Genomic DNA, 16,489 nt, shown 5'->3' with positions numbered 1-16,489 from the left:
CGGATGGACAGATGGACTAGAGTTTATGCCCTCTTAGAGGTGAGTTTTTCATACCCGATGACTGTAAGACCAAGGTGGATGGACTTTTCCCTAGGGCCTCATGCAGGAGAGGCATAAACTGAGCAGGGATCTGGGGGAAGTGAGCCCGTTTGTAAGGACAGCAAGTGCCAATGTCCTGAGGCAGCACCTGGCTGAGGAGGTTGGAGAGCAGGCCAGAGACAGGCAGGGGCTAGATCACATTGGTCTGTGGGCTCATGAAGAGAACTTTTTTTTTTGAGATGGAGTTTCCCTCTGTTGCCGGGCTGGAGTGCAGTGGCGTGATCTCAGCTCACTGCAACCTCCGCCTCCTGGGTTCAAGTGATTCTCCTGCCTCAGCCTCCCGAGTAGCTGGGATTACAGGCACCCGCCACCACACATGGCTAAGTTTTTTTGGTATTTTTAGTAGAGACAGGGTTTCACCATGTTGGCCAGGATGGTCTCAATCTCCTGACCTCGTGACCTGCCCACTTTGGCCTCCCAAAGTGCTGGGATTACAGGTGTGAACCACCGCGCCTGGCCAAAAGAACTTTCATTTATTTATTTTTTAAGGGTGTAGATTCTAAAAGCTGGAGAGGGTTTTGTGCTACATTGTCATGTCCTGATTCCTGTCTTAAGAAGCTCCATTTGGTTGGCCTGTGGATGCACAGAGATGGTCAGTTCAGTGGTGGGTGGACCAGGATGGTGGGAGTGGAGACCGGGGAACTGGGCCTTTTTGGGGCTTTATTTTGCAGGGCTTGCTGACAGATTGGCTGTGTGCTGTAAGAGAAAGAGAAGGAGCCCCAAGGTTGAGACTTGACTGTGTGGGGAAGTGGTGCTATTTGTGCAGACCGAGCAGCAGGGAGGACATGTTGGGGAGAAAACTGGGAGTTCTTATTTGGAGGGTTGAAGTGAGCGGTGCTTCGGGGATGGCCCAGTGAAGGTGGGAGCAGGTGGTGCTCAGGACTCAGCAGGTCAGGGGAGAAGAAGCTTGGAGTGGTCAGGACCATCAGCCGGCAGACAGGTGGTGGGAAGGGTGACAGCCGGCCTGGGGGTGCATTCACAGGGAGGACCTGCAGGTCGGAGCCCAGGCACCCTGAAACTTAGAAGTACCCAAGGGGATAAAACCCTCCAAAGGAGGCAAAGGCAGGACCAGTGAGGTAGGGCACGGGGTCACAGCGACCAGGGAAGAAAATGCATCAGGAGATGGTGTGTTCAAATGCGGCTGGGATTGGAATAAAATGAGGGACAGGTGTCCCTTACTGGGTCTGACAGGCTATGGCTAGGTGGTGACTTATGGAAAGTTGCAGTGAGATGGGTTGAACATGGATTCTGGAGCCCATGAACCTTGGGGTAAGGGGCAGTGACTATAGTCAGCCTTTGAGGAAGGCTTCCTATAAGGGGAACAGCAGAGAGACAGGCCAGGTATGGGAAGGCTGGGTAGGCATTCAAGGAGGGTTGTGTTTTCAAAGATGGGATGTGTTACAGCAGGCTGTATGCCACTGGGAAAGTTGGCACAGGCAAGAAAAACGTGAAGGTTAGGAGCTGGAGGGACGGGGTGGGTGGTGACTCACCCCTATAATCCCAGCACTTTGGGAGGCCAAGGAGGGTGGATCACCTGAGGTCAGGAGTTCGAGGCCAGCCTGACCAACATGGTGAAACCTCAACACTACTAAAAATACAAAATTAGCCGGGTGTGATGGTGCATGCCTGTAGTCCGAGCTACTTGGGAGACTGACACAGGAGAAACGTCTGCACCTGGGAGGCAGAGGTTGCAGTGAACTGAGATCGCGCCACTGCACTCCAGCCTGGGCGACAGAGTGAGACTCCGTCAGGAGTTGGAGAATGAGAGCCAGGGTGGCTGGGGACAATGCTGGAGCCCGCTGTGCATGTGCATCTGGGTTTGGCACCTGGCAGCGATGCACATGAGCTGGTGAACTGCAGTGGTCTCCATTTTCTTCTGGGCTGAGGTTTGTTGGGAGGCTTTAGCTCCTGTGCGTGTTGCTGCACAGAGCAGCTATGCACTGATGAGAAAGGACTGTGGAGGGGTGGATGGCGGCGTAGACGTGGGGCCATGCTGAGGGCTCCTGGAAGTCTGTGACCTTGGCTTGCTGTCCCTCAGACCTTCATCTTCCCTACCTCATGCAGGGAAGATGCACAATGTGGACCTGGCCATCTGATGGAACTATAGGATTGTCCCCAGTACCTTGTGCTGGTGACTAACAGTGGACACCTAGAGGTCTGGGAGGAGCAGCTCCCGGAACCCCATTGATAAAAGTGTCTTCGTGTCCAGTGTGTGCCGCTGCCCCCTGCAATTTCAGCAATTTCAGCAATTTCAGCAGAAGCATGCCTCCAAATCTAATGTCCCCAGGGCTCCACTGAGTGCTGGTTACTCCTTCACGTCCCACCCACACTTGCCTTCCACTCCCCGACACAGGCCCCTTATCTCTCTTAATTCTTAGTCCAGTTGAAGTCAACACAATTCTTCGCTTTGCCCTCCGCCCCACTCCCACCCTTTGCTCCTGAGCCTCTGCTTACCTGTTTTGGTCAAGGCCCAGTCTACACTGGAGCCCGACACACACTGCCTCCCTCCCTCCTCACCCTGGAGGGTCCACTGCCTCCTTGGCTTTATCTTCTCTCTGCTCCCTCCTAGGCTATAAACTCGGGAATGAATGAATGGACAGATGAACCCTGCCAGTATAATTGTAAACCATCTAATCAGAAACTCAAAGGGCAGCAGATAGGAGGCCACAGCTCAGGGTGTTCCAAAGGCCCAGCCCAGGGCGTGACTGAGGGGTGTGGTAGTCAAGGGGGTGACCTTAAAACCTGGCGTCTGTCTTTGTCATTTTAGTCATTCCATCCGCAGCGCCTGTTGAGCACAGCCGTGTCTTACCAGGCGGGTGCTGAGCGCACACACTGAGAGACCGTGGTCTTGGCACACGCGTAGTTTATAGTATGAGTGGGGTATGCCGCAAGCCCATGTCTGTTCCCTGCTAGCCTGGGTGGACAGTGATGGCTGTCACTGCAGACATGGGATGAGAAGCTTCAGTGGTGAGGTGGGACTTGAACTGCCTTTTTCTTTGCTTGAATAACATTTAAAAACTTTTTTTTTTAAATAAGGAGGATAAGAGGATTGTGAGTACTATGCTGTAAGTATACTTTAGTGATATTTAAAAAAATTATAAGAGCAATACATCGAACCTTTTAGGAAGCTGAAAACAGATGTGTAGAAATTGCCACAGGCTCCCAGCCTCAGCACCTCACCGTCCTGGGCCACCTGGGGAGGGGTTTTCCTCAGGCTCTTATTCAGTGGATGTGCACAGGGCTGGGACGCAGGAAGACTGTAAGGAAGGAGCTCTCCTGCGGTGACGGCAGGTCCTGGGAGCTCAGTCCAGCTCCGGAACAGCAGTGCTGCTGTGCGGTGACTGTGTGTGAGGCCAGGGGGTGCCGGACGTGGACGCCACGTGAGACAAGTGGCTCAGGTAAGATGGTTAAGGTCTGAGCCTCAGCGCCTCATTAGAAGCTTTTGAGGTCGGTTGCAATTTGATCATCCGCTTTAGCAGATGAAGAAACTGTGGCCCAGAATAATTAATAATAAACCCGCAGGCAGTGAGTAGAGGAGTGGGGTCGGGGTCCGCCGCAGCTCTCTGGACCACCTCAGTCCAGGCCTCCTGGGGGAGGCTCCAGGCTACAGGAGAGCAGGGCACCTGCCTCTATCCCCAGATCTCATGGCTCTCTGTGCTTCTTAACCCAACTACAAATCAGAGCTCCTGGGAAGACTGTGAAGAAATATCACTGCCTAGGGTTCCCCCAAGACTGTGGAGTCCCCTGACTGTGGTGTAAGTGGTAGGGGTGGAGTTTGTGTGATGTCGGTATGTTTTTAACCAGCTCCTGCAGGGGATTTGAGGAGCAGTGTTGGCTGAGAACTGCTCAGGCTGCCCCCAGGTGGGATCCCCTAGGGCTTCATTACCCACAGTTCCAGATGTGGTCCAGTGGTCATTTTCTGATCTAAGTCAGGCAATGTTGGGGCATTTTCGGTCAGGAAGAAACTGGGGAGGTGTGAAAGGACGGGGGTCGATTAGAGAGGTTTCCGAAAGGACAGTGGTAACTGAGATGGCTATCTGTGGGTGACCCGCCTCCCACTGCCCCAGCCTTCCCATGGGAGCCCCCCAAGGGAGGGGAGACCAGGCTGGGTCCTCTTGCTGTCAGCACCCTGTTTAAGGATCTGGTGCAGGTTTTGAAGCTGAGCAGGTTGTTAAACTTCCTAGAGCCTTGGGCGCCTTGTCCACATCAAACAGTAACAGAGATTTCTATGGGAGGGGAGTGTAGAAAGCCCTCCCCTTTCGTGACCAGTGGCATGCACTACCATCTAGCTCTTCCTCAGTGTTCTAGAAGAGACCAGTCTGGCCAATATGGTGAAACCCTGTCTCTACTAAAAATACAAAAATTAGCTGGGCATGGTGGTGCATGCCTGTAGTCTCAGCTACTTGGGAGGCTGAGGCAGGAGAATCGCTTGAACCTGGGAGGTGGACGTTGCAGTGAGCCGAGATTGTGCCACACTGCACTCCAGGCGACAGAGCGAGACTCCGTCTCAAAAAAAAAAAAAAAAAAATGCCCTCTTACGCATCTCAATGTATTATCACGGAAGAGTTTAAAAGGCCAGGCACAACACCAACAACTGTGTCCTTTTTCTTTACCCCCCTGGAGGAAGTGAACATACCTCTCTCCGTTTTTAGTGTTCGAGGTGCTCAAAGTGGCAGAGTAAGTCCTAACATCGTGGATCTCCAGGCTTTTCGTACAACTAACTCTGCAGGGTTCTTCTGCTTGGAGTCAACTTGATGGTGAAGAAATGCTTGGCAAGGAGTGGAAAAGTAAATCATGATGTCCTCAGCACAGGGCACCTATTAACTAGACAGTTTCCTATGTTCTCATTTTCGGTTAGAATAGGTGGGGCAGCTCATTTGACAGGAGGAAACTGGCTTGTTGGAAGTGCTGGGATGCCTACTGATCCGTGCCTGGGTCCTGGGACACCCATTGGTAGCAGTAGGTCTGTAAGCTGGACCTGGGGACTTGGGCTTGTGGTTATTTAGCTCTGCGACCTCAGGCAGTTCTGGAAGCTATCACAGTTGGAGGCTGGAAGTCCAAGATCAAGGCTCTGGCAGATTGTCTGGTGAGGGCTGGCTCCTGGTTCATCCAAGGCACCTTCTATCTGTGTCCTCCCATGGCAGAATGGGTGAAGGGTCTTGTGGGGTCCCTTTCTTAAAGGCATTAACCCCATTCATGCAGAGTCTCCCCTCATGACCTAAGCACCTCCCAAAGGCCTCACCTCCTAATATCGTCACCTCGTGGGTGAGGATTTCAACATATGGATTTTGGAGGCACACAGAGAGCCCGTAGCTGTGGGGGTCCGTTTTACCATGAGAAAGGTGTGCTCCGTGCTTGTGAGAGGTGGAGACAGGTGGGCCCTTGTTTATCTTTTGGGCTGGGCACCCCCACCCCCGACCCATGGATAGGTGAAGGAAGGAAGATGCTCCTCTTGGCACCAGCCTCTGACTCTTCCTGCTCCTCTGAAGGGAGGGAAGGGGGCGAGATCCTACCAGGGACTTAGCTGGAGGGGGCTGGGGAGAGCCACCTTAATTTAACACTTTCTTTTGCTCTCCTGTGCACAGTCTGTAATGAAACAGCTCTGTTTTGAGCAGAGAAGAGGGAAGAAGCACCCACTGGAGGGGAATTTTGTAAGGAAAGCATTTTTTATTTACTTCTCAAAGTCAGGGGGAAGGAACTCTGTGACGAGTCAGAGCAGAGGGAAACAAATGCTGGTTTCCCCAGGGCGGGCAAAAACACCATGCAAAGGATGTCAGAAGTCACCATCTGTTTGTCAGAAGAAGCCCTGAAGTGTGGCAGTCGCAGAATGACATTTCATTGACAGCCTGCACACCCCAGGGGACTCCCATGGGTGGGGACAGGCTGCGTGCCCGGGAACTTTGTAGCCAATGGAGACGTTTTGGTTAACCTGGTGGAATAAATACACTCTCCTCTGTGGCCAGTGGACTCTCATTCATCACGTTATCTACTGAGTGTCTGTGATTTTCATGAGAAACAGTGTTGTGTAAAGGACAAAGCAGTACTGCTTTCAAGTCCTGCTTCCACCCGAGTGGGTAACTCCAGCTTTGGACCATCTTGAGGGTCAGGCACTTCACAAATGGCATCTTTGATCATTAATACCACTCTGGGAGTTGGACTCCTTGTCTCCTAGGATGTCGCTGGGTCACTAAGAGCCTGGGCGAAAGCCCCCTCACCGCAGGGACTGGAAGTCAGCTCCCCACCTCTCCAGTCTTTCAGGTGCCCCATGCACATATCCTGAGCCCCTGGGACTTGACGTACCGAAAGTCCTCTGCTGGTCTTCCCCCTCCAGCATGGCCCTGGGGAACAGGTGTGAAGATGTTTGCTGGATAGGTGAGATGCAAGTGTGCCTGAACACTTCCTGAATGTCCCAGAGGGTGAGTGCCCTGGGAGGCACACTGTTACACTGTCCCTTCTGGATTTCGGATGGAGCACAAGCTGGCTGCACAGGGAAAGAGACAAAAGGGAGGATTTTCCCAAAGTCTGTGTTTGGACAGGGCCCAGGTACAAGACCTGCCCCTAGAGACAGTGTCTGGGCCTCCTGCTGCCCAGTGACCAGTGTTCCCACCTTTGGACAAGGAGAGAGGGCCAGGCTCAATTTCTGCAGATGAGAGCTGGCAACAACTTGCTGATGTCAGAAATTCCTTAAACTGAAGGCAGTCTTTTTCAATATCAGAGGCAAAGTGCCTTTTTTTTTTTTTTTTGACAGTCTTGCACTGTTCCCCGTGGTTGGAGTGCAATGGCGTGATCTCGGCTCACTGCAACCTCTGCCTCCTGGATTCACATGATTCTCCTGCCTCAGCCTCCCAAGTAGCTGGGATTACAGGCGCCCACCACCACACCTGGCTAATTTTTTGTATCTTTAGTAGAGACGGGTTTTCACTATGTTGGCCAGACTCGTTTTGAACTCCTGACCTCGTGATCTGCCCTCCTCAGCCTCCCAAAGTGTTGGGATTACAGGTTGAGCCACCGTGCTCGGCCGTAAAGTGCTTTTAAATGTGCTTTAGGTGGCACATAGAAACTCCCTCACACTCGGACACCCTCAAGCCATGGAGCAGTGGGACTGGCCATGTCAGATTTCGTGTCGACGGGCATGTAGTGGGTAGAGGAGAGCTAGGAGTCATCTGCCCAGAGTATCTGGTGGCCCCAATTTCAGAGCACTGAGGCTAGGAATCGGGAATCAGGGCTGGATCCTGCCAGGACAGTGGCTCTGTGAGCACACGTCAGAGGGACTAAGGATTTGGACTCTCCACCCCTCACTTGGGTTGTCTGGCCAAGGTGTGGTGAGGATTTGGTTTAGATGATGCCTCTCTGCAGAAACACCCAGTGGTAATGCATATTCTCATCTCTGAATCACAGGTGGCGCTGACCATGGCTTGTCCCATCCAAGGTCATGGTCACCTTGACCCCTTGATTAGGTGGAGACTGAAGCTTTCTCTGTTGTTGACTTACTCTTTTCCCTTTTATAGTAAATAAAGGAAAGTATTTAGAGACTATGTATTCTCTCTAAAGATCAACCAGTGACAGCCTATTAGATTCTGTCTCTCCACTGCACATAACTCCCGAGTCTCCCATCCCACGACGCATGGAAGCTGAGACCTTTACGCTTCCTAATAACCTGCTCCCAGGACTCCCATTGCCTCTCTGAGACTGTCTCTGTGGTCATTTGCTTTTTTTTTTTTGAGATGGAGTCTCGCTCTGTTGCCCACACTGGAGTGCAGTGGCACAATTTCGGCTCACTGCAAGCTCCGTCTCTCAGGATCATGCCATTCTTCTGCCTCAGCCTCCCGGGTAGCTGGGACTACAGGTGCCTGCCACCATGCCCAGCTAATTTTTTTGTATTTTTAGTAGAGACAGGGTTTCACCGTGTTAGCCAGGATGGTCTCCATCTCCTGACCTTGTGATCCGCTCGCCTCAGCCTCACAAAGTGCTGGGATTACAGGCGTGAGTCACTGCGCCCGGCCTCGGTCATTTGCTTCTATCAGTAGGGACTCAAAGAGTCTTGGATTTGTATTGTATTCAATGGGTCATAATCCAATATTATCACTATTTTGATCTCCAAGTTGTTTACAGTTTGCCTGGTGGGAGCCTCTTCAGGCTGGCCCCTGTGTCTTTTTGTTAAAAAACCCATTGTTCTGTGAGCACTGTCTTACTTTCTGGCCAAAAAGAAGAGATTTCAGGCTCATTGGGGGGTGACTGTTGGTATTGGAGCCTCCGCACCCTCCAAGGACAGATCTGGGAGTATCTCTGTGTGTGTGTGCATGTGTGTGTGTGCACTGGTTCGTATACACACATTCACATCTACTTTGATTTCTAGATGTATCTACGTCTCTAGATTGGAAACTCTGAGTCACACCAATATCTGATTCCTGTCTCCCAACACAGGGCTTACTATAATGTCCCCCATTCTAGACTAGCAAGCTCCTCCCGAAGGTGCCTCCCATTTTTCTTCTCACAGATCCTTATGCTCAATCATCCTGTGCATGACCAATCTCCCGTCACCTCTCCACTGCTATGGCCGTCCTCTCCCCTGTACATTTATCTGTGTTTCTAGGGCTGTTGCCCGAGGCTGAGGTTCTCTTACCTAGAGTTTCCATGTCCACTCCTGCTTTCTCCCGAGTGTCCTCCCAGGACTGCCAGGGGTCCTCCAGGATGAACATACACCTGTGATGCTTTTTCCTTTTTGCCAGTTAGAGCCCCCTGTGACGTTGGAGTCCAGCCCAGCTCGGTACTGGGGCCTCCTTCCTTGTGACTGCTTTGTGCAATCCTGCTCACCACCCTGTACTTGCTTCTTGAGCCCTGTCTACCCTCAGTGTCCCAACACAGCTGTGCATTAGCCACCCAGCCTTTGGCCAGTTCACCAAAAATACGGCGCTTTACCACCCTTGCCTCTCCTCACCTCTTTTCCTGTCTGGAAAGTGTCTGCTTCTGCTTCAAGTCACAGGCCATTCATGGAGTTCTTCCCATGATCTGTGGACTCCGTGCCCCCTCCTAACACTGCGTGTAGATCGTCCCTCTGGGAGGGGCGGGGTGAGCCAGCCGCTGTATTTCCTCTGACATCGAGCACACACGTTGCTCACGTATCTGTGGGTGAATGCATGATCGTGTGAGGGAATGGACTCATAGGAGCAGCCTCCAGTTTCCAGTGACAAAACGGGCACGAGTGGCCCCTCAGCTCTCCCCCAGGGAACCTTGTACTTGGTGTTAAAGTCTGACTCATGGAGGGGCTCATGTCCCTAGTTCCAGCTGGGTTTCCAACCCAGGTTGAGATGTAGCCTCTCTTCCTGATGGCTGGTTTGCTGATGTCTGCCTTAGCCGTCTGGAATTCATCCTCCCTGGGAAGAACCTCATTTTGTTCCTGGGAAGAACCTCATTTTGTTCCTGGGAAGAACCTTGTTTTGTTCCTGGGAAGAACCTCATTTTGTTCCTGGGAAGAACCTCGTTTTGTTCCTGGGAAGAACCTTGTTTTGTTCCTGGGAACCAAGTGCAGTCAGAAGCTAGGGTGAGACAACCTGGCGAGTAAAAAGCACAGAGGATTGTGGCAAAGCACGAAGAAAATTGGAAGCTGGGCAGCAGCACAGAGCTCACTGTGGCTTTAAGATGGAGTGAGGCCAGTCTGCCACCCAAGTTTTGAGGTGAGGGTCTGTGCCTGGAGGAGTCTGTGCCCTGGCTTCTGAGTCCCTTCGCATCCCCAGACCCTCAGCTACAGCTTACTTCTGGGAGGACTCAGAAGGGTGTGGTCTGAGACAGGCAGTGAACACCGGTGTTGATGTGGTGGAAATACAGCAAAGGAGAATGTTTTCATTCCTGCACCAGTGTTTATTGCTCCTGCTTGGTGCTGTGTGTGGAAAATCCCAGACAAGGTTAGGACTTCCTATTGGAGGTACAAGACTTATGACCACACTAGAGGGTCAGGGCCCCAACCATCCTTGAGTGGCTCAGCCATGGAGGATGATTAACCAGTCTGGGAGGTCAGATGGGGGGCGGATCTTCAACTGAGCCCAGGACAGCGGTTTTCAGCCAGAAAGGAGAATGGGAAACTGCCTTGGGAGAAGCCCCAAGTGAGCCCAAGGGCGCAGAGCAGAAGGACCCTGGAGTGTAAGAGCCTAGATTGCAAGCCTGGCAGGAGGAGGTCAGAGTCGGGGGCAGGGAGAGGGGCTGGAGAGGCGGCCTGCTGATGAATGCGGATTCGCCTTAGGATTGAGCACTGTTTCTTGCCAGTGAAAAATCAGTTTGTTGTCCTCACTGGGGAGGTTTATCACACGCACGATATTTGTTACTAGTAACGAAGTGTGGGAGTTTTCTGAATGGCTACTCTTTTAAATAAGTAAGAGCAGATTCAGGGTATCCCTGCAATAAAAAGCCACCTTCAACCATTTGCCTTCCACTCTGGCTTGCATAGGCAGTGGGCTGGCCTGTGCTCCTGGCCGTTGTTCCTGGGTGGACCCCAGAGAGTATGAATCCTGGTACTCAGGTTGGAGGAGTTTTATCCTGCTGGGGGCTATCTGTTCATTGCTGAATTCAGATTTCTTTGGCCGGTTCCTGTGGGCACCATGGTAAGGGCGGTGGTAGATCCAGCTGACCTCTGGGCGTGTTTGCCCTGGGTAAACCATGACAGCAGCATATCCTGTTCTTAGCTGTTTGTAGGCACTGCTATGTACCTGGTATTGTGTCAGATGTGAAGCAATCTGGAATGAATACGATACAGATGTGTTCTCAGGGAAAAATGTTTGAAAAGACTAAAGTTTGGATATGCTATAGGAAAAAAATGATGAATGTATACAGAAAAATGAATGAAGGAATGAATATAGAAAAAGGTGAATAATGGTGTCATTTGAAGGACAGGGGGAAATGAGAATGCCTGCTTGTCTGCCAGGTGATGATTTAGTGAGGAATTGGAACCCAGAATGGTGTGTTCTAGGAGGAGGTTTTTTCCTTTGTAGTTAAAAGTTGAAGAGCAGCTTTGCTCTTCTACTGCAGAAACAGAAAGATGGATATTTAGTGCCAGAACTTGAGAGGTTAACGTCAGCCAGTTGAATTGATGGCTGGAATTTGCACATATGTCAGCCATAAAGGCCACGACTTAGCCCACCCAGACTGCTCCCCACATCCAAGGCATGTGGAGTTGCAAGTGGAGCTGTAGATCTGAAGTTAGAGTGTTGGAGCCATAAAGGCTGAGCTCTGGGACACTGCTCCTAGGCTGGGCCTGGAGTGAAGGCCAGTGGTAGGAGTACAGGGTTAGCTGGCCTGAGACTAGAAGGCCCCCTATCCTGCTCTGAGGCAGGGGTCTCTTCCGCTGCCCACCGTAGACCACAGGCAGTGGCTTCATCTTGAACATGTTCTTTTAGTTTTAGACTTGCCACAAAGCTTCTTGCAGACAGCCAAGATCCACTGCCCCGGGAAGGCTGGTGAAGTCCGACAGGCATTGAAAGGAGGGATCTGCCTGTGGATCTTGCCCGCCTCTCCTCCTGGCGTTTCTAAGTGACCCTTTCTTCAGGATCCTGGCTTGTCCATCTTCTCCCATCACCCTGTCATCTTCACCTCCTGAACTTCGGGTTTCTAATTTCCTTCTAAAATCGCAGACCCATAAAGGAAGACGGGACTTCAGATGTGCTGTGAATTGTCCTGATTTGCCAGGAGCAGGATGGCGGGGGGTGGGGGGGGTGCGGTGAGGGAGGGATAGGCTGGGAGATAGGGAGGTGCAGCCCAGCCCCCAGGTGTGCAAGGCCCCGGGCGGTCCTGTGCTTTGATATTTGCTTGAAATCCTTACCTGGTTAGGCGTGTCCCTCTCTGCAAGGCCAGGCTCCTAGTTTTTTAGTAGAAGAAGCAAATTAGAAAAAAAGCCTTTCTGCCTCGGTGTTTACCTGCTTTCCACTCCAAATGCCCTGTTTGCTAGTGTAGATTATCAGGGTAGTGTAGATTACTGCTCATTACAGATGCAGAGTTGACTGGATAATATTCAAGATTTAGAAATTCCGAAAGCCAGAGCTTGCCCGGTTTTGATTCTTTTAAGCACCTCGCCAGCGTTCTCGGAGAGGTTTGAAATCCTAGTAAAGCTGAACCCTGCGCCAAGCGCGGCGCGTCGGTAATTCCAATCAGATGGCGGCTGCAAGATCCTGCTCCCCCCGCCTGGAAGGCGTTTCCTCACCCACTTTCCCAGTGTTTGGCGGCTCAGCCTGTGCCTCCGCGCTCGCTCGGAGCTGCGGTTGGGGCGGGCGGGGGAGGGAGGGCTAATTCGTGTCAGATGGAGGGACGCCGTGCGGGACCGTGCGCTCGCGCCTGGCTTTTGTTCCCGGCGTCTGACTTCTGACGGGCAGGAGTGGCCGTGGAGGCTGCGGCGCGCGGCTGGGACCTGGGCCGGCGGCCACGGAGAGCCCTTGGCCCCTCCCGTGTTGGCCATTTCCTGGGACTTGTGTCCGCAGGGGACTCGGGAGGCATCCTCCCCCCAGATAGCCGCTGGGGAGGGGTCAGCGGCCACCCTCGCCCGGCCGAGCCCGGCTCCCCGCGGGCGGCAGGGGCAGCCATGAGGCTGCGCGCCCTGACCCCTGGGCCACCGGGAGGGTTCGCGCGCGGAACCCGGTCGCGCCGGCGCCGGCGCCAGGTGAGTGCGGCCCGGAGCTGGTGTGCATGGCCAGGGGCGCGAGGCACGGGCGCCTTCAGGGCTGCACGCACGTGGGCTGCGCCGGGTGTGCACTGGTGCCCGTGGACGCTGTGCTGGTGTGTACCCGCTTGTGCTCATGTGTATGCGTGTGCCCTTGTCAGTGCGCGTATGTCAGTGTGTGTGCACCCCGTCTGCACGTCCACGCGTGTGTGCTTGTGAGCGCGCGTCTGTGTGTGCAGGCATGTGTACGCTGGTCCGTGCCTGAGTCCTCGTGGGTGCGTGTGTACCCTTGTGTGTGCACGCGCAGGACAAGGAGCGAGAGGGCCAGTGGAGCTTTGCCTAGTGGGGGCGTCTTCTGGTAAGCGTGGAAGAGGGTTCAGGCTTAGCTCTTTCTAACTCAACTGCCTCTTGAAAAGGCTTCTTGGGTTCATTTCCCTGCAATGGAATTGGGATACTGGCCATTGCGCAGACCTGCTATCCCTCGCGTGTTTCTTGCAAAGGTAAAGGGCATTTTAGCTCTGCAATGAAGTGGGGGATGCGCTGGGATGTAGGAATCCTTACAGGTTCCCTGGGGACCGCATGGGTTCCAGCGGTGCTCTGTGGTCCACAGGACGGCCTTTCACGGTGTTTGAATTAAACAGAGCGGTGCTGGTTGGCTCCCCGCTAGGTTCAGCCTCCCTTTCCCTAAGTTATTGCTGAATTAAACAGAGCGGTGCTGGTTGGCTCCCCGCTAGGTTCAGCCTCCCTTTCCCTAAGTTATTGCATTTGTTTTTCTGAAGCTTTTGTAAGGTTCTGTGGGGTGAAAAACTGTCAAAATTTCAGCTGGTTAACTTGAGGTGTACTGCGTTCCCTTTTAAAGTTTAGTGGTCAAACGCTGCTGCCTGGAAGTGTGGGAACAATATGTGTTGGATGTGGAGGGTGTCCCTCTTGCCCCAGATACCGGCCCCCTGTGGGCTGGGAAATATCCCCGAGGCCCGGAAGTGTTCCTGGCTGTTTAACATCAGAGTAAAGTTGGGCTGGGAATGTGTTTTTGATCAGTGTCTGCCTCTCCAGAATGCCTCTGAAGGTTTCCCAGGTGCCTGAATGCCTACCTAAATCCTCTTACTATGGTGGAGCTGAATATTTCCTGAAAGGAAAACATAGCTGGGATTGTGCTGATGCAGCTTTGCACTTTTGCGTGTGTAACCATTTTGCCAGGGCGACCTTTAGCCGGGAGAACCTATCCGAGAGATCCCTGCGGTTTTGCATTTCGGCAGAGTGGAGCATTCATGTGGAGCACCTCCCTGTTCAATTTTGCAGAGATTTTTCTTTCTCAAAAGAGACCTCACAATCAAGACCAGCACTAATTACTGTGTCCCCCTCAGGGAGTCCTTGTGGAACCAGCAGCCTGCTCTCTACCCTTCCAACATTTTGTTCCTAACAATTAAGTGCAATTTAGATTCCTGAACTGAGCCTGCTAAATGCTTCAGCATTGCTGCCTCCTCTCCCCCTTTGGGAGAAATGAAAGCACAGTATCAGGTGAAAACAAGGGCAGTCTAATCCCGTCTGGTCTCATTTCACAATAGAGATGTTATGTACAGATGAAGCGTGAGCAGATGTTATTACACTATCCTAAATGAACTCCTCAGAGATCCAGCAATTCAAATGGCTGAGCCCTCGCAACAGTGCTTATGCTGTTTCCCTCTTTAAGTTTTCTAGCTGTGGACCAGTGGGCAAGAAAGCTGCAGGAAAACAGTGCCTCTTTCTCCCTGGTTGGAATAAAGGTATTTGTGAGGAATGAAAGGTCACAGTATCTTTCCTTGGCCCACAGACTGTGGCTAATTCATTTGGTCAACAAATATTAATTGAGGGTCCATGGTCCACTGTCTGCCAGGCGCTGGGCAGGGCCCTAAGAGGACAAAGGGGAAAGAGCCTGGTGTCCTGCATCTAGGAAATTGCAATATAGCACAGGAGAGAAGGCATATAAACAAATAACTGCAATACGAGTGAAAAGTACGTACCAGCTGCTGCATTGCAATAGAGAGATGTGTTTGTTAGGTGTTTGAATGCTACTCTTGTCTGAGCGTGAGACTGGGGCTTGAGGCATATGAGGCCTGAGTCTCATATGCCTCATCCATTGGCTGTGTGGTGCTGCATCTCGGTTTTGCATCTCACCATCACGGTTTGTAGACTAGTGGTGATTACGGTAATGACACAGAAGCACTTAGCTAGTGTTACCAACTGCATAATTAGCAGCATCATTATCCTTCTTTTGCAGAGCACTGAACACACAACCTGTGTTATCAGAAAGGATGCAATCTCTTTGAAAAAACCAGATACCGACATAGGAACAACTACATAATAACAGTACCTTAAATGTATATAGATACTTACAGTATAGTCGGTTATATACAGTGGTGGTTCTGTCTTGGCCGCAAATTAGAATCACGGGATGGAGCTGGGGTGGGGGGTTTGACAACATTCCAGTGTTCTGATTCAACCTCCAGGTAATCTGATTTAATTGGTCTGGGGTGGAGCCTGGGTCAGCTGTTTTAAAAACTGCCCCAGTGATTCCTATGAACTGACAGATGATACAGCGTTTGGTCATTTACAATAGCTGTTAAGAGACAGGAGGGGGAGGATATCTTTTCTATTTAAGAGAGGTTGTGACTTGTCCTGGGCCACAGAGCTTGTAGTGTAGGTATCAGAACTTATGTGAAGGCTTCTGCTTGGTTCAGGACTCTTTCCCCTACTTTATTTATTTTTTCTTTTTTTTGAGATGGAGTCTCACTCTGTCAACCCAGGCTGGAGTGCCGTGCCATGATCTCGGCCTACTGCAGCCTCTGACTCCTGGGTTCAAGGGATTCTCCTCCCTCAGCCTCCTGAGTAGCTGGGATTACGGGTGCCCGCCACCACGCCCAGCTAATTTTTATATTTTTAGTAGAGACGGGGTTTCACCATGTTGGCCAGGCTGGTCTTGAACTCCTGAGCTCAGGTGATCAACCCGCCTCGGCGTCCCAAAATGCTGGGATTACAGGCATGAGCCACCGCGCTTGGCCATGAAGTTCTTTATTAGGTGATTGTATTAGTCCATTTTCATGCTGCTGATGAAGACATACCCAAGACTGGGCAATTTATACAGGAAAAAGGATTTAATGGACTCACAGTTCCACGTGCTGGGGAGGCCTCACAATCATTTCGAAAGGTGAAAGGCACATCTCACATGGCAGCAGGCAAAGAGAGAGAGCTTGTGCAGAGGAACTCCCCCTTATAAAACCATCAGATCTCATGATAATTATTCATTATCATGAGAACAGCACAGGAAAGACCTGCCGCCATGATTCAGTTACCTCCCACTGGGTCCCTCTCACAACACATGGGAATTCAAGATGAGATTTGGGCGGGGACACAGTCAAGCCATATCAGTGATTAAATGTTTAGGACTGTTAGGTGTTCTTGATGAATCAATCCTTTTATTATTATGAGAGGACTTTCTATATCCTTGGTAATGTTCTTTGATCTGTAGCCTACTTTGTCTGATATAGCCACTCCAACTTCCCTTTGATTAACATCAGCAAGGTACCTCTTTTTTCTAGCCTTTGTCTTTTAAAAAAAAAAAAAGGCCAGGTGCGGTGGCTCACACCTGTAATCCCAGCGCTTTGGGAGGCCAAGGCGGATGGATCACGAGGTCAGGAGTTCGAGACCAGCCTGACCAACATGGTGAAACCCTGTCTCTACTAAAAATACAAAAATTAGCCAGGCATGGTGGCG

General features: G+C 51.7%; 1 protein-coding gene across 17 annotated transcripts in view, besides 1 other annotated feature; it reads left to right on the top strand.

Moving 5' to 3' along the window:
* The window catches only part of TNS3 (tensin 3), a 307,433-nt gene that overhangs the window by 32,818 nt on the left and 258,126 nt on the right, over positions 1–16,489 (top strand). For 2 of the 17 annotated variants that reach the window (XM_047420726.1, NM_001410877.1), the window contains exon 1: positions 12,297–12,739. The exons of 12 other annotated variants lie outside the window; for them this stretch is intronic. In XM_047420726.1, coding sequence (XP_047276682.1) covers positions 12,662–12,739 — 78 coding nt within the window. In that variant the 5' untranslated portion in view covers positions 12,297–12,661. Of the gene's footprint in view, positions 1–2,864; positions 3,498–10,141; positions 10,271–10,524; positions 10,695–12,296; positions 12,740–16,489 lie in introns of those variants that run through there. 3 more of the 17 variants (XM_047420735.1, XM_011515480.4, XM_011515478.3) reach the window with 3 other exon arrangements.
* Positions 12,121–12,994: an enhancer, noted in NCBI's record as "H3K27ac-H3K4me1 hESC enhancer chr7:47576373-47577246 (GRCh37/hg19 assembly coordinates)". NCBI's record gives its function as "activates a minimal SCP1, AML or CMV promoter by ChIP-STARR-seq in primed H9 embryonic stem cells {active_cell/tissue: H9 hESC(primed)}" and the evidence as "EXISTENCE:reporter gene assay evidence [ECO:0000049][PMID:30033119]".

Source organism: Homo sapiens, chromosome 7 (genome assembly GCF_000001405.40).
Source record: "Homo sapiens chromosome 7, GRCh38.p14 Primary Assembly".
Taxonomy (NCBI): Eukaryota; Metazoa; Chordata; class Mammalia; order Primates; family Hominidae; genus Homo; species Homo sapiens.
Note: the sequence above shows the minus strand (reverse complement) of the source record. Positions and strands in the feature narration are given on the sequence as shown.